The 18,853-nt window shown below is 36.1% G+C and overlaps 1 long non-coding RNA gene across 3 annotated transcripts in view; it reads right to left on the reverse strand.

Annotated features, from left to right (window-relative positions):
* The window catches only part of LOC105375490 (uncharacterized), a 104,836-nt gene that overhangs the window by 6,142 nt on the left and 79,841 nt on the right, over positions 1-18,853 (reverse strand). For all 3 annotated transcript variants that reach the window (XR_007060511.1, XR_001745352.2, XR_001745351.2), the window contains 2 exons: positions 18,029-18,086; positions 14,168-14,610 (listed from right to left, as the gene is read on the reverse strand). This is a non-coding gene — a long non-coding RNA (uncharacterized LOC105375490). The remainder of the gene's footprint in view (positions 1-14,167; positions 14,611-18,028; positions 18,087-18,853) is intronic.

Consider the following 18,853-nt stretch of genomic DNA (forward strand, 5'->3'; position numbering starts at 1 on the left):
GATGCAAGGCTGGTTCAACTTATGCAAATCAATAAACGTAATCCAGCATATAAACAGAACCAAAGACAAGAACCACATGGTTATCTCAATAGATGCAGAAAAGGCCTTTGACAAAATTCAACAGCCCTTCATGCTAAAAACTCTCAATAAATTAGGTATTGATGGGACGTATCTCAAAATAATAAGAGCTATTTATGACAAACCCACAGCCAATATCATACTGAATGAGCAAAAACAGAAATCAATTCTAATTTAATCCCCCCAAAAGGAGAATTTATTGGAAAGCTTTTAGAAAGCTCACAAAATCAACCAGAAGACTGGAGAAAAGGCTCAAAAGCAGACATGGAATTACCTGGTTTCTGGAAATAATAAATTCTAGTTGTTCTTGCTTGCTTACACATGAAATACTTTCTTCAAGAGCCATAGTCCTAGGACAGTAAATCCAATTGACTAAGCTTAGACCATGGGCCTTCCCTTTGGATGTGCAGAATCACTGACAGAAAAGATCTAATGAAAGAAATGTCCAAGATCCCTTCCTTCCATGATAGGAAAACAGGGACCCCTGGATCTACCTTTCTTCAATGACTGCCTACAATAGAGGAGAGATAATTTCAAAAAAAAATCAATCAATTGATCAAGGCACTGTAGGATGCTGGGATACAAACAAACAAACAAAAATTCTTGCACAACTTCCTAGCCTGCCTCATAAGGCAAAAAAAAAAAAAAAAAAAAAAGAGAGAGAGAGAGAAAGAAAAAGGAAATAAGTGGTAAATATCTCAAGAGAATAAATTAAACATTCATTATTTGAAGATAATATAATAGTCAAGTTGGAAATTGTAATAGAATAAACTGAAAATTATTAATATATTCATAATTAGTACAAGTACACTAAAGTGGCTGAATCCAAGATCAAACCAAAAAATCAATAAATTTCTTATATACCAGCATCACCAAGTAGAAAATGTAATGAGAAAAAAAAAATTTACAGAAACAGAAAAACCTAGGAAATACTCAGAAACAATCTTAACAAGAAATGCATACAACTCATCTAAATGAAAATATAAAAATTTGCTGAAGGATACCCTGAAGAAGGCCTAAGTAAATGAAATATACCATGTTTCTGAATGGGAAAACCCAACACTGTAAAGCTACCTGATAAATCTATAAATCCAATAAATCTCAATGAAGATGCAAGCATAATTATATTATGAAACTTACAAGCTTTTTACAAAGTTCATCTGGAAGAGAAAACATACAAGAATACATTTGAAAAAAACATTCATGCAGTATTTTCCATACCAGGCTTCAAAGCGAAAGCTTTAATATTTAAAATATGTAGTATAGACAACAGAGGACAACAGAGATTCTAGAAATAGACACATATTCATAATTTCTGTTGTGAATCAAATGGCATTGGTAAAATTGGCTGACCATTTGGAAACAAAAATTAGATCCCTACAACCTATGTTCCACAAAAATAAATACACATAGATTAAAGAGCTAAATGTAAAGTCAAAACTATACAAGATAATTTTATATAATCTTGAAGTGGAAGGTTTTTATCAAACCCAGAGGCCATATATTGACCATTTGACTATATTAAAATTTTTCACTTTTATATAATAAAAGGTACCTTTAAAAACGGGGGAAAGGGGCAACAGACTGTGAGAAAGCGTCTGTAAGAGCGCCTAAAAATCAGTAAGCAAAAGACAAACCAATTTTAAAATAGGCAAAGGATAAAACAAGAATTTTACCAAAATGTTTCACACTACACATGTGAAAAGATGTTTAATATTACTGTTGATTAAAATAATGCAAATAAAAGCAAGAATTGAATATTTTTACAGTTGGATTTGCAAATGTTAAATATTTGGTGTTGGTATAAAAATTTCACAGAATAGTCTTTATGGAAATATAAATTGACTACAGCTTTTTGGCAGTCAATTTGGCAGTATCTGCTGAAATTTTAAATGCGTATGCTCTTTGACCCAGCAATTCCATTTCTAAGCATCTACCCAACAGAAATACACTCTCAATTTTGATACAATACATGTACAAAGATTTTTATATCAGCATTGTCTGCAACGACCAAAAAAAGAAAATAATCTAAATGTCCATTAGTAGCAGAAAGAAAATTAAGCCTATGCTACGTAAAATGCAGCCATTTGAAAGAATTATGTGGATATATTTATACTGATATGGAAAGTGTGCTATGATATATTAAGAGAAAAAGTGAACTTGAATGAACAGTATAATCCCATTTATGCAAAATCTAATCCTGTATTTTTGTTTATGAAATAAGTGCATGTAAATGCATACGAAAAGGACTGGAAAGATGCACACCAAATTGTTCGTGCTGATTGCCTCTGGAGAAGAGCAGGATTGGGGAAAAGAGACTTTCGTTTCTTGCTCAACTGTTTTGTTTAACATTTTTACAACAAAAATATGCTAATGTCTATCTGTATGATCCTATTACAAATTTCAAAAAATAAAAGTTATTCCAATGGCAGAGTAGGAAAAACTAAAGAGGAGTAAGATTAGAAACAGGGAGGACAATGAGAAGGATGCTGTCATTATGCAAACAGGAAAAGATGGGAGCCCAGGGTGGGAGTGGAACTGGGATAAAGAGGACATGGATTCAAGAGAGATAGGAAAGTGGAAATGGTGATTATTCAGGTGTGGGCATGAAGAGGGAGGAATGCTAAAAAATATGTAAGTAACAATTGATGGCGGGTACCATAAACTGAAAAGGAAAGTCTTGGAAGAGAAGCAGGTTTAGAGAAAAATATAATGAGTTCAGTTTTAGTCATATTTTGGGATGCTTTGGACAACTCAAGTGGAGATGTTTCTTAAACATTAGGTTGGAGGTATAGGCACAAATAATTAGTCTGCAAATGGTGCCTGAAGCTACGGGTCTAAATGACATGCCCCACAAACTTCACAGAATGAGAAGAAATCCAAGCAGAATGCCCGAGAAACCACTAACATTTAAGGGTTAACCAAAGGAAGAGGAAATCATGAGAAACACTGAGAAGGCATGACCATGGAGGATGGAGAAAAATTGAGGAAACATGGTGTCACAGAAGTTAAATGAGGGGAGAATTTGAACAAGGAAGAAATGGTCAACAGGACTTATCACCAAGAGGAAAAGCAAGAACCAGAAAATGTAGAAGTCACTAGTAAGGGACAGGATCAGCTTCAGTGAAAGGGAGGAGCTGACATCAGACCACAGAAGCTTTCAAGGGGATGGCTGTGAAAAGCGCAACAACAGGATTCCTGCCTCAGTTTGTTATGGCTGCTATAATAAAATACCTTAGATCGGTAGCTTATAAACAACATACATGTATTGCTCACAGTTCTGCAGGCTGGGAAGTCCAAGATCAAAGCACCAGGATACTCAGTATCTGGTGAGGACCCACTCTCTGGTTCACAGATGGCCATCTTACGGCTGTGTCCTTACATGGTGCTTAAGGGGTCCCTCTCAAGCTTCTTTTATAAAGGCACTAATTCCATGTATGAGATCTCCACCTTTGTCATCTAATCACTCCCCAAAGGCCCCACCTCCTAAAACCATCACCTTGGGGGTTAGGATTTCAACACATCAATTTCAAGGGGACATAAATATTGAAACCATAGTAATCACCAAGAAAAAGGAAAGGATGAGCTCCAATTCAATAAGAGAGTGGTACCATCTCTCCCATTAAGATAAAAAAGAAGAAAGAACAAGGGCAGATTGATGTGTATTTCTTGGTGAAGGAGAAGAATTTTTCCAGGGAGTTTTCACCTGATAGCCTCTATTTAATGCAAAATGAAGGCAAACCTCCAAGAGTTGTGAAGGAGGCAATAGAGAACAGAGTCGAAGATGGAAGGGAAATTTTTAAATAGCTGTGGAAGGCATTGGGCACATTGAAGAACTGCTAGACAACATACAGCATTAGCTGTCAAACATTTTTATTCTACATTAAGACATACATTTTATATTATGGCCCAGCACACACATACATATATGTGTAAATAACTAATTTTAAAAATTATGAAACAATACTTACACTTAATTTCTGAAATGAATATTTTCTACTCTATTTACTTTTTAAAAAATTCACTATTCATGATAAAAACCCTCAACAGATTAGGGATAGATGGAATGTATCTCAACACAATAAAGGTCACATATGACAAAACCATAACTAACATTATTTTCAAAAGTCAAAAGTTGAAAGCTTTTCCTCTAAGATCAGCAACAAGATAAGGAAGCCCACTCTCACCACTTCTTTTCAACACACTACTAGAAGTTTTAGCGAGAGCAATTAGGCAAGAGAAAGAAAGAAAGGCATCCTAATAGGAAAGGAAAAAGTGAAATTGTCTCTATTTGCTGACGACATGATGCTATATATAGAAAACCCTAAAGACTCCACCACAAAAACCATTAGAACTGATAAATGAATTCAGTAAAGTTGCACAATACAAAATCCGTACACAAAAATCAGTAGCATTTCTATATACTAATAATAAACTATCTAAAAAGGAAATTAAGAACAATTCACAATAGCAACAATTTACAATATCAAAAACAACAACAAAAATACTTAAGTGTAAATTTAATCAAGGAGGTAAAAGATTTGTATATTGAAAACTATAAGACACTAATGGAAGAAAATTTGTAAAACACAAATAAATAGAAAAATATCCCATGTTTATGGATTGAAAGAATTAACATTGTGAAAATATACATACTACCAAAGCTTTCTACAGATTCAATTCAATCTCTATCAAAATTTCAATGCCAATGCCATTTTTCACAGAAGTAGGAAAAAACAGTCCTTAATTTGTACAAAAGACTCCTAATATCCAAAATAATCTTGAGCATAAAGAACTAAGATTGAGGCATCACACTCTCTGATTTCAAAACCTACTATAAAGCAATTGTAATCAAAACAGCATGGTACTGGCATAAAAACAGACACATCGACCAATGGAACAGGATGGAAAGCCCAGAAATAAATCCACATAGTTATGATCAATTGATTTTCAACAGAGGTGCCAAGAACACACAATGCAGAAAGGACACTCTTGTCAATAAATGGTGTTGGGAAAACTGGCTATCAACACACAAAAGAATAAAATTAGATTATATTTCACACCATATATAAAAATCAACTCAAAATGGATTACACTTAAATGTAAGACCTGAAGCTGTAAAACTAGCAGAAGACAACATAGGCAAAAAAGTTCCATAACATTTTTTGTATATGACCTTAAAAGCACAGGAAACACAACCAAAAGTAGACAAATGGGATGGAATCAAACTAAAAAGCTTCTGCACAGCAAGAGAAACTATTAACAGAGTGAAGAGACAACCAACATAATGGGAGAAAATATGTGTAAATCATACATCTAACAAGGGGTTAATATCCAAAACATATAAAGAACTAAAACAACTCATTAGCAAGAAAACAAATAGCCCAATTAAAAAATGGGCAAAAAGCCTGAATAGATATTTCTCAAAAGAATACATACAGGCCAGGCATGGGTGGCTCACACCTGTAATCCCAGTACTTTAGGAGGCCAAGGCAGGTGGATCGCTTGAGGTCAGGAGTTTGAGACCAGCCTGACCAATATGGTGAAACTCCATCTCTACTAAAAATAAAAATAAAAAAAAAAAATTAGCTAGGCGTGGTGATACACTCCTGCAATCCCAGCTACTTGGGAGGCTGAGGCAGGAGAATTGCTTCAACCCAGGAGGCAGACGTTGCAGTGAGCCAAAATCGCACCATCGCTCTCCAGCCCGGGCAGCAAGAGTGAAACTCCTACTAAAAAAAAAAAAAAAAAAGAATACATACAGAGAGCTAATTGGTACATGCAAAAATGCTCAGCATCACTAATCATTAGGGAAATGCAAACTAAGACCACAATGAGATATCACCTCTCACCTGTTAAGAGTAGCTTTTATCAAAATGATGAAAGATAACAAGTATTGGCAAGGATGTGAAGAAAAGGAAAGTTTTGTACATTATAGGTGGGAATGTGAATTAGCACAGCCATTATGAAAAACGGTATGAAGGTTTCTCAAACAACTAAAAATAGATCTACCATATGATCCACTAATCCTACTTCTGCATATATATCCCAAGGAATTGAAATCCATATCTCAAAGGGATATCTGCCCTCCCATATTTACTGCAGTATTGTTCACAATAGTCAAGATATGGTATCAACCTAAGTGTCCATTAATGGATGAATGGATAAAGAAAATGTGGTATATATACACAATGGAATGCTATTCCACTTTAAAAACAAAAGAAATTCTGTCATTTGTGACAACATGGATGAACCTGGAGGACATTATTTAAATGAAATAAGCCAGGCATGGAAAGGCAAATACCACATGATCTCACTTTTATATGAAATCTAAAAAAGTTGAACTCACAGAAGTAGAGAGTAGAAAAATGGTTACCAGAGGCTAAGGGATTGGGGAGGGAAGGAATGGGAAATTTTTATCAAAGGATATAAAGTTTCAGAAAAGAGGAATAATTTTTTAGATCTATTGCACAGCAGGGTGACTACAGTCAATAATAGTGCATTGTATATCTCAAAATAACAAAGAGTAAATTTCAAATGCCTCACCATAAAAAATGATAGGTAAGCAAGGTGATGGATATGTTAATTAGTTTGACTTAATTATTCCACATTGTACACATATATCAAAGCATTACATTGTACCCCATAAATGTATACAAGTATGATTTGTCAGTTCAAAATAATGTTAGTTCTTGAAAATTCACTAAATTTAGTTCATGATCCATCAATAAGCTGTGATCCAATGTTCAAAAAACACTAGTATAGAGCACCTAACTTCAGTTGCATATAATTTTCTCAGTTTTCCTGATCCACTTACCTGACATGGGACCAGAGATCTAAAGGAGGATGTAGCAGGAGGACAAGGGTTTATATATTCTAGGATAATGGCAAGAGAAATGTACAAAGATGGACATTGGCTGAATAAGAAAGAAGTCAAATGAGAACAAAGGGAGAGGCCCAGGAACTGCAGGTCTCAGTGTAACTGAAGAATAGGTGTTGCAGGTATTAGCAGGAAAAAAGGAGCTGAGAACTAGTTCTTAGATTTAAAGTGCCAGAGGCAGAGTGATTCTGGATGATGACAAGCCCAGGTATGACCCTGAGATTCTGGACGATTCATGGAAGTAGATGCAAGGACTGAGGAATCAGACAGAAACCATATAGTGTTTGTTGCAAAAGTCTAGATGTATTGTGAGTATTGCCTAGGTTAGTTGGTAGAGAAAATTAAAAGCTCAAGATAAATATGAGAAATGTTTTAAATAAGCACCGTCCAAGAGAACTTCCTCCAATGATGAAAGTATTCTATATCTGCCCTATCCAATTCAGTAGCCACTAGACACATGAGCCTATTGAACATTTTAAATGTGGCTAGTGTGACAGAGAAACTTAAATTTTAATTGCATTTATTTCAATTAATTTAAATTTAAATTTAAATAGTCACATGTGGCTATTTAGTGGCTGTAATAGTAGGCAGTACAGTTCTAGATGAAGAATTATCAGGAAGACATAAAGTCAATTAAAAGTTCCACAGTGGGATGGTTCTATAGCACTGGGGACCTGTTGGTACAATTTCTTTGATAGGAAAAAGCAATGTAACCTTTTTATTTTACTTAACAGAATTGTAATCATGCAGAAATGTCCTTTAGAGATCCAGAATCCTTGGTTGGCAGAGAATATAAGATATTGGGGCAAGAGATGTCAAAATACAATTTATCTATGTAAGCTAGTACATAAACCAATGAGTGCATGAATTCCCCAAGACAGTGAAGGTGACTGTAACCAATAGTGATTCATGTGACCACTATCACACACGTTGGGGGGCTTGTAGATTAATAATGTGGTAGTGAAACTGAAGGATTTCATAGAGGGATATAAGAGGAAATTTTAAAATACTTCAACAACTTTCATAAAAATGTATTTGCATACTTATAGCTCTTTCTGTTAATTTTTTCTACTTATTCCCATATGGTTTCTGTTTCTTCATTTAACTCTAGGAGACTCAGTTATCATTAAAAGCTATCACAGGTTTTGAAGCAAACATTATCACAGCCTGAACTGAGCCACAGCTCACCAAGCAACTGCTTCCCAAGTCTAGAGATCTCAAATACAATGAAACAACACACACGTTGTGTTCTCCAGGCAGGAACTCAAGCTATAGAGAGAATAAGTACACTTTGTAGAGTATACCTGTGGGGAAACTCAGGTGAACCCCTGAGCACCTAAAGCTTTACCACTCTGTCCATATCATCAAATTTTATGGGACCTGTGGCGTCCTAAATTCCGGGTGGAAGGTGTTTGTCTTAGAGAGATACTCTTGATTTTACAGAATTAGACAGCTAAGAGAGAAATCTCTTTCATTAAGTTCTCAACATTTGGCTTTAAGCACTATGCTTACTTTGTACATGTGCCCCTAGACTCTCCTTCCCCCAATTTTTCCTGGCCCAAAGCCTATTTCCCTCATTTATGGTGTCCTAAAACACTCCCTGTAAAAAGCAGCCCCTTCCAGAAATGAAGCTTACTCAAATCTTAGGATTCTACCTTTCGTCATTAAGTTTCTTTCATAGCAGTGCTATTTGCATCCATGTAATTCACTTGCTCTGTCTCAGTTCCACTCTGTTGAGTGTATGATCAGATGAGGAAAAACTATGCCAACCAGAGTAGAATTCACAAAAGTTCACTTATAAAATTTGTACTAATTTTCAGGCTGCTATGCTCTGACATTTACTAGGACCATACAGTTTAACAACAACAACAACAAAAACTCACCCTAAGTCACAGAATCATAGAATTCACTTGCTATGAGATGCCATGGCTTGTAATGGTATGAACATGGTTCACTGCAGCCTCAACCTCCTGGTTTCAAGTAATCCTCCTGCTTCAGCCTCCCAAGTAGCTGAAGCCACAGTGTGTGCCACCACCATACACCACCACGCATGCCACCACGCCCAGCTAATTTTTTAATTTTATAGAAATAGGGTTTCACCATGTTGCCCAGGCTGGTCTCTAACTCCTGGACTCAAGCAATCCTCCCACCTTGGCCTCTCAGAGTTCTGGAATTACAAGTGTGAGCCACTGTGCCCAGCCTACAATCAGCTTTTCAAGTTCCACCAAAAATGAAACAAAAAAACAACCCTGTTGAAAATTTTTATTAAAATTCCAATGAAGCTATAAATCACTGTGGAAAGAATCAATGTCTCATGATAGTGAGTCTTCTAATGTATCAACATGGTATATCTCTCCACTCATTTAGATCTTCTTTAATGTCTTTCTATAAAGTTTTATAATTTATTTCAAAGGGGTCATATACATCTTTTGGTAGATTTATTCCTAAGTACCATATTTTTTGTTGCTATTGTAAATGAGATTTTCTTTCTTCTGTTGCACTTTCTATTTGTTGATGGCAAAAAAGTTTATACAACAATATGATATCCAACCATCCTCTCATTAATTCCATAAGAAGCCTATAGATTCTTTGAACTTTCTTGGTAGACAGTCATATTATCTGCAATGACCAATTTGTGACTCATTTATTTCTTGCCTTACTGAAAATCCGATAAAATGTTGATGAAAACTGACAATGGTGGAAGTTTTTTGCCTTTTCCTGTTCTTAAAAGAATGCTTCCAAAATTTCACCAAGAATAATATTCTATAATTCACTAAGAATAATGTTCTAGTATTGGAAGTCCTGGCCAGAGCAATCAGGCAAGAGAAAGAAATAAAGTGCATCCAAATAGAAAGATAAGAAGTCAAACTATCCCTGTTTGCAGATGACATGATTCTATATCTAGAAAACCCCATAATGTTGGCCCAAATGCTCCTTCAGCTGATAAACGACTTCAGCAAAGTTTCAGGACACAAAATCAATGTACGATAATCACTTGCACTCCTATACACCAACAACACCCAAGCTGAGAGCCAAATCAGGAATACAATCCTATTCACAATTGCCACAAAAAGAATAAAATACCTAGGAATACAGCTAACCAGGGAGGTGAAAGATCTCTACAATGAGAATTACAAAACACTGCTCAAGGAAATCAGAGGTAACACAAACAAAGGGAAAAACATCCCCCATGCTCATAGATAGGAAGAATCAGTATCACTAAAATGGCCATACTGCCCAAAGCAATTTACAGATTCAATGCTATTCCTATCAAATTACCAGTGGCACTTTCACAGAACTAGAAAAAAACTATTTTAAAATTCAGATGGAACCAAAAAAAGAGCCCAAATAGCCAAGGTCCTAAGCAAAAAGAACAAAGCTGGAGGTATCACGTTACCTGACTTCAAACTATACAACAGGGCTACAGTAACCAAAACAGCATGGTACTGCTACAAAAACAGACACATAGACCAATGGAACAGAATAGAAACCCCAGAAATAAGGCTGCACACCTACAACCACCTAATCTTCAACCAAGCTGACAAAAACAAGCAATGAGGAAAGGACTCCCTATTCAATAAATGGTGCTGGGATAACTGGCTAGCCATATGCAGAAGATTGAAACAGGACCCCTTCCTTACACCATATACAAAGCCAACTCAAGATGGATTAATGACTTAAATGTAAAACCCAAAACCATAAAAACTCTGGAAATAAACTAGGCAATACCATCCTGGACATAGGAACTGGCAACAATTTCATGACGAAGATGCCAAAAGCAATTGTGACAAGAACAAAAATTGACAAATGGGATCTAATTAAACTTAGAGCTTCTGCACAGCAAAAGAAAGTATCAACAGACATGGGATATGTTAATTAATTAATTTAATTAATGTATTAATAAGTTAATTAATTAATGCATTAATTAAATTAATTAATTAACACAGAGTGGGGGAAAATATTTGCAAACCATATATCTGACAAAGATATTAATCCAGTACCTAGAAGGAACTTAAAAAATTTACAAGACAAAAACAACCTCGTTAAAAAGTGGGTGAAAAACACGAACAGACATTTTTCAAAAGAAGATATATACGCAGCCAAAAAGCATGTGAAAAAAAGCTCAAATAACACTGATCATTAGAGAAATGCAAATGAAAATCACAATGAGATACCATCTCACACCAGTCAGAATGACTGTTATTAAAAAGTCAAAAAATAACACATGCTGGGAAGGTTTCAGAGAAAAGGGAAAACTTATACACTATTGGTGGAAGTGTAAATTAGTTCATCCATTGTAGAAAGCAGTGTGGTAATTCCTCCGAGAGCTAAAATCAGAAACACCATTTGACCCAGCAATCCCATTACTGAGTATATGCAGAGGGATATAAATTATTCTGCCATAAAGACACATGCATGCAAATGTTCATTGCAGCACTATTCACAATAGCAAAGACAAAAATCAGCCTAAATGCCCATTGACAACAGATGGGATAAAGAAAATGTGGTACATATACACCATGGAATACTATGTCACCATAAAAAAGAACGAGATCATGTCTTTCCTGGGAAAATGTATGGAGCTGGAGGCCATTATCTTTAGCAAACTAACAGAGTAACAGAAAACCAAATACCAGATGTTCTCACTTATAAGTGGGAGCTAAATGATGAGAACACATGGACACAAAAAAGAGAACAACAGACACTGGGGCCTACTTGAGTAGGGAGAAAGTCAGAGGAGGAAGAGAGGCAAAAAAAATAATTGGGCACTGGGCTTAGTACCTGGGTAATGAAATAATCTCTACAACAAATCCCTGTGACATGAGTTTACCTATATAACAAACCTGCATGTGTACCCCAAACCTAAAGAAAAAGTTAAAAAAGAAAAAAAGAATAATGTTCACTGTAGGTTTGATTTGGTTTGGTTTAGATACCCTTTACCTGGTTAAGGAATTGTCCTTCAATATTTAGCTTCATGCAAATTTTTAAAATTATGAATGAGTTTTGAATCTGTCATATGTTTTCTGCTGACTTCTCTTGCAAGCTTGGAGCTCAGTTTTCCCAGGTGGTCAAAATCAGTTACCACTCATCCAACGGCTTTCCACCTTCCTACTTTTGACTGCTATTGTCTCCTCACTTTTCTTATAGGTTTATATCTTTTAAAAAACATCCATTGGTTGTCATTTTTATAATTTGGGGGAGGGAGTGAAGTGAATGCATACATTCAATCCATAATCTTTAACTGGCCATTTTCCATCCTTAAAATTTTTCCTTCATATTTAAGTTAAATTCTAAAGTGTCACTCCTAGGCAACCCCCCCAACTTGCATGCTATTTTTACCCTTTGCAATTTATGTTACTGTTGTCTATCATTTAACTTTAATTTTTTAATCCCCACGGAAGACATTATTGTTTTAGATAGATAAGATTTGTTAGATTACCAACTTTTTTTGCCCACCGGACCTTCTTCTATTTCAGACCTTACTCCCGGAGGCATTTTTCTTATTCCTTCAGAATTGTAGTCTCAAGGTGTAGTTTATGGACCTGTAGGGACCCTGAGACCCTTTCTGGGGCCCACAAGGTCAAAACTACTTTCATAATAATACCAAGATGTTATTAGTCTTTTTCTCTGTGTTGACATGTACACTGGTGGTGCAGAAGCAATGGTGGGTTCAAACATCTGGTGACTTAGCATGAATCAAGACAGTGGCACCAAATGATGCTGGTAACCTTGCATTCTTCTCTGCCGCACACTCACAGTAAATTTCTAAAATGTCAGTTATGCTTAACAATGTGCTTGGTGAAGCAGAAAAAATATATATTAATTTTATTAAATCTTGACCTTTAAGCAATGTCTTTTTAATATTCTCTGTGACAAAATGGGAACTACAAAAGGCACTTCTTCTGAATACTGAAGTATGATCGTTTTCTCAAGGAAAAACACTTTTGTGATTGAGTTGCAAGCTGACGTAACCGATTTTTTCATGGAACACTATTTTTACTTAAAAGGATGACTGACAGATGAACTATGGCTATTCAGACTTGGATAATTGGCAGACATTTTCTCAAAATGGAACGAAGTGAGCCTGTAACTTCAAGGAAAACAACCAACAGAACTTGTTGCCAATGATAAAATTCAAGTTTTTAAGCAAAAATTAGAATTTTAGAAAATTTGTATTTGCCACCATGGGTCTGACAGCTTCCCAATACTTGGACTTTTCTAATGAGATCAGTGGTGATGTTAATGAACGTAATTTTGGCGTAAATGTTTGGAAGATCTACCTGATTCAATGAATCAATATTTTCAAAACAGAAAAGTATAATAGTTAAAAATTTTTTAATTAATGGGTTAAACAGTAAACAGTTGAAGAGAGAATTATTGATATATGGATTTTTTTAAAAGTACTCATAATACAGCAGAGAAAACAAGGAGATAGAAAAAGTGAAAGACAATTTAGTACAAACAAGCCTGTTTCTATTTTGCAAATTCTGTGTGGTTTCTTTTATAGATTCCTGCTTATTTTGGGTAGTTCCTTATTGCTTTACATTTCTGTGAGATACCTGGGTATACATAATTGTTTGATATTCTACATCTTGATCATTCCAAAATCAGAATTCATGAGGACTCTAAATCCTTCGTTTATTGTTTCTGCTGACTCTCCCCATGGTGAGACAGAGGCTTTTTCTTCTGTCATGTTGGTGATCTTCGATGGTGAGCCCATGTTTGGTAGATCTTCATCTATGGAATCCTGAGGGGCTAATTGAGGTTGACTTCCTCCAGAGCAGCTTTATCCTTGCTTCCACTGGGGGCCAGGGGGCGCCAGACCTCAGCTGCCTTATTTCCTTCCAGGTTCCATTCACTGGCCTTGGGTTGAGCCCAAAGCTTAGTGTCCTGATTGCATTTGCTTACTGCTCACTGCATCTCCTTTTCAGATTTCAACAAAGTATTCTCTCTCTCTCTCTCTCTTTTTTTTAACACCGTTGGATATTTCTCTCATTTCCTACAAACCTAGCACTGCATTTGAAATTACAATGTTACTCAAGCAGATATAATGTAATCAAAATACAACTTTATTTTTTCTTCCCACTGTTCCATTAGGCTTTATTTAGCAGGAGTAAAGTTTCCCTGAGCCTGGATGAAAAACAATCTTGATTCAGAAATTAGATTGTCCAATTCTGTATAACAATTATAACTCTGGGCTTGACTTACAGTAAAACTCCTCCTCCCCCAGCTTGGTTCTGCTTCAGGCTGAAAGCCTACAATGAGAAAGAGTGGCTGATTAGTTTCTTCCTTTATTTACTGCCTTGTGCTTCCCTTCTCCCCCTTCCCCTTCCCTCTCCCAGCTGTTTTCATGTCCTCAAAGTCAAAGCAGGAAGATGGTAGACAGGAAAATGATAAAATATTCTGTGAACTGATATCTTCATGCCCTGAGGGTCATGAGCTCTTCAAAGGTTCCTATCACTGTACTCCTTTCTCCTGCAACATCTAGCCCCAGGTAGGTGCATTTCTAGCCTGAATGATCCTGCATGATTCCTCTCTTCATTTTTGTACATCAGCGTTACGTAACCAGCTTCTATCTTCAGAAATCACTTTCTTCCAGGTGGCAGGCTCTAAGAGAACCCATGCTGGCTCTCAGCACCCACATGTAGTCCCTTTGAAACAATGAGACAGGCTTTGCTAAAAAACAAAACACAAGAAACCCTAGGCCAACCCCTTCCCATGTTTGCCAAGAGAGTGGTTAGTCAGCTCTTTTCTTGCCCTCTAGATTTCCAACATCAGAGTCAAGCCCCAGCCCACATATCAAAGGTCTCCAGGTACCATGGTAGTCCTCCTCAGTAGACCTCAGATGAAGAAGAAAGTATCTCCCTCTGTGTCGGGGGAGGAAGTGGGACTTTACTGTTTTCTCCAAAGATGCTTCCTCACTAAATGCTTTTCCTCTCTCCTTGCGCTAACCACATTTCATATTATTGGTCTACCACGTCATGGAGTGCATTCTCCAAATATTCACATTCTCTTTGGTATCTATTATATTGGTGTTTCAGTCAACCTCAAGGGGAAGGATTTCAGTCCAACATCCTGTTACTCAACATAAATATGTTTTATCCTTGCTCTAGCTGTGTATTTAGTTCAACATACTGGAGGAAGCAGAATACTGTTCTAATAAACTTGATGTGAAATAACTCACTTACGTTTCATAAATATATGACAAACTGATTTAAAAATAAGGGCTTTGGGAGGCTGAGGCAGGCGGATCATGAGGTCAGGAGATCAAGACCATCCTGGCCAACATGGTGAAACCCCATCTCCACTAAAAATACAAAAAATTAGTCAGGAGTGGTGGCGTGTGCCTGTAGTCCCAGCTACTAGGGAGGCTGAGGCAGGAGAATCGCTTGAACCCAGGAGGCAGAGGTTGCAGTGAGCCGAGACTGCGCCACTGCACTCCAGCCTGGTGACAGAGCGAGAGTCTGTCTCAAAAAAATTAAAAAATAAAAAATAAGGAATAAGGCTGCAGTGTTTATTTAGTCCTATGCTAACGGTCCTGAGCTGTGAAGAAGAATATAATCATAAATCAATGTCATGTCCAGAAAATAATGATCAAGAATACTATAGAGAAGGGCCTGGTTTCTTCACTACACATTGTGCTTCATATACTATGTTACATGAGTATGTCTGAGCCCACTTTTACCTCATTTGGATGCACATGAGGCCATTTATTCCTCCAGATACACATTGTATAGTTATTTTCTGCTCTAGTAAATTAATAGCTTAATTAGCACCTTAATTTGATTTTAAAGGCTGAAAAATATAGGTAATAGTGTATTCTTTTTAGAGAAAAATTCTAAATAATCACACTTTGTGTCTAGTTATTAAACATGCAAACTGTAGTTTTTATACAAAAATAGAAAAAACCAATACCTACTAAAAGCTATTTTGGGCAATTAGGAGGAATTCTCTTGTTTACATTAGAGGAGAAATAGTACAAAAGTAACTGAACACATGCCAGAATAATTAGCAGGCTCTTGGCTCATTTAAATTATGCGCACATTGCCATTTTAATGCATTTTTTAAATACCCACTTGCAATTCTATTTTATTTTTGGAAGAAAATTAGTAGCTTTCTACTAGGTATGATTAGTAAAACCAGATTTGTTTCCTGTTTTCCTGGAAAACATAAAACTTCCTGGCTTTATAGACCCATTTTTAATAATAATTAAAAACATAAAATAATAATAATCATACTTTGGATTTATACAACACTTGTGCATGAAAACTGGAGGCACTCTTTTTTGTAAGATAATTTCTCTGTAGGAATATTATGCTGTTTCTTCATGCTCACTATATAATATGTTGATCCTAAGGACCATCTAATATTAATGATAAAAGGATTAAGACTGCAATTTTCTGTTTTTAGGAAAATACCCGAGTGACCTCCTCAAAACAAATTCAGGGCATGAATTTTACACATTTTCTTCTCAATTTAAGGTCTCTGATGATTAGTTACAAAGTAATGATTAGCAAGAAGTGCACCAATTAGCATGTTTTGTATCCTAAGAAATAAAAACAAGAGAGCAAAGACAGAAGATAGGAATTTCTCTTTTCGAAGGCATAAATGCAGAGAATTTAGTCAAAAGGATAGCAGACACACTGATCTAAAAGCCATAATCTAGACTAATAAAATTCTTATCATTAAAATGTTACAACATACACAGCTCAGCTAAGTAGCATACATGCCTCACTCAGACTTCAGAATATGCGGAAAACATACACACGACCTGTCCACAGTTATCCTGTGCCCAATCTGCTCTAGGCACCAATCAGGTGCCATGTGAGGATGCAAAAGTAACTGTGACAAGGCATGAGCCCTTCAGAAGCTTCCAGTCTACTAAGAAAGATGACTGGTGTATACATGGCTATTATATCAAGGTAACTTCAGAAAATCTCTAAGAGAGAATCAAAGTGCTGAGGAAATTCACAGAAGGGAGCTACTAATTTGCAAGGAGGGACCGGGGAAGTCAAACATTGCCCTCAACCAAATGGCCACACAAAGCCATAGGAAGGGCCCTTTAAGGCTAACGTGAACATTTGTCACACTCAATCATTGGGCAGGGACACAGTCCCACTTCATTCATACAAACTCTGCTTGCAGAAACTATACAAAAATAAAATTATAAGGGTATGTCTATCATGGAAATGTCTACAAGCAAAAGATGGTGAGGCAAGTTCAGAAAATATGATAAAGTTATCCAAAAAGACAAAAGCAGAGACCCTGGTGGAGTCATTAACATCACACAGGATATTTTATTTGGGGTTCTTTAGCTCTAGATTCACATCTTAAGTAGGATATTTAGAAGGTGTGATCTGGTCCCACCTAATCTGGACACATAGTGTTAGGGAGCTGCCATCTAATGAAGGAGTCTGCATGTCATATAATATTTCTGTGCTCTCTCTAAGACTGAGAATGAGGAACGACTAGCACATTAAGTTGAGACCAAGTGAAAGGAGGAAACTTCACTGTTAGCTCAAGAACACCGAGGTTTTCTGCCTTCATTCCCCTCTTTGCTTTGAAGGAAAATGCTAACTATAATAGTATCTTCTTTACTTTTGGAGGCTTATTCCTGTTTGGTGATCTACAATCAAGCTACAATTATGGAGAATAGATACATCACTCAGGTTCTTGAAATTATGCGTTCATAGTTTTCAAGATATGTGTGCAATAATATTCATACTATTTTATCATATTTTTGACAACAAAATAACATGTATAAAATATTCTCTTTAAAACTAATAATTTTTGCAAAAATATAAAGATATGATTCTATACAGTATTTTAAAACAGCTCTTCCAGCACATGTAGCTTCTAGTTTGTGGGCTGATTTAATTTGACCTGTGAAAATTAATCAACATTCTAATCTTTGATCCATGCATGTAATTCCATTGATTTCAGTGGAATCTATCTTCAAGGGCTAAGGGTAGAATTGCTCTATAATTATCTTTACCAATACAGTTGCTATATTTATTACAAAAGCCACTCCACTTTCCACACTGGCTTTTTGAAACTCAGAGTACATACATTGTATTCTATCGGATTTGTTTCTCCCATATGCAGAATGTAAAATCCATCATGAAATCTGTAATATAAAATAACCAGAAAAAGAATTTGTCTGAATTGATGACAGTGAATGCTCCTGAATATTTCAGAGGAAGATACAAGTTTATGTTTACTTCTTTATTATGTAACCTGGGATGGAGTCAAAGGCATCGGATTGTTCCCTCTACCAGTCTGTTATTACCATTCAGCATTAATATTGATATGCATTAATATATGTAAACCTTATGTTTTTGTCTTATCCTTCAAGATAATATCTTTAAGCTTTTACAATCTCTTCCTGATCCCTTTCCAAAATTCATTCTATCACATGCCTCAGCAATACCTTCTAGCCATAGTCCAACAATATGACATGGAACTTAGATGCTTAACCACTGAAAAGGGCGCTTCCCTCTTTCAAAACCAGAAGAATTGGGTACTGAAACAACCAGTACCAAGAAAATTAAACCAGTTCACAGAGCTTTCTCATGAGACATCAGTTAAAATACTCAAGCCCATAGCAAAACAAATTGAGTAGGATGTCATAGATTCAAAATGTCACAGAATCTTTTTCATTAGTTTTCTTCAGAAAGGAACTACAAAGTTACAGGTACACATGAAAAAGGGCCCAGGACTATGCCCAGGGTAATCAGGAACATTTTGGATTTCTTTCTGCTGTCAAAACCTGCCATTAGCACTTTGGGAGGCCAAGGCAGGCAGATCACAAGGTCAGGAGTTCGAGACCAGCTTGGCCAATATGGTGACACTCCGTCTCTACTAAAAATACAAAAATTAGCCAGGCATGGTGGC

Source organism: Homo sapiens, chromosome 7, assembly GCF_000001405.40.
Source record: "Homo sapiens chromosome 7, GRCh38.p14 Primary Assembly".
Lineage (NCBI taxonomy): Eukaryota > Metazoa > Chordata > Mammalia > Primates > Hominidae > Homo > Homo sapiens.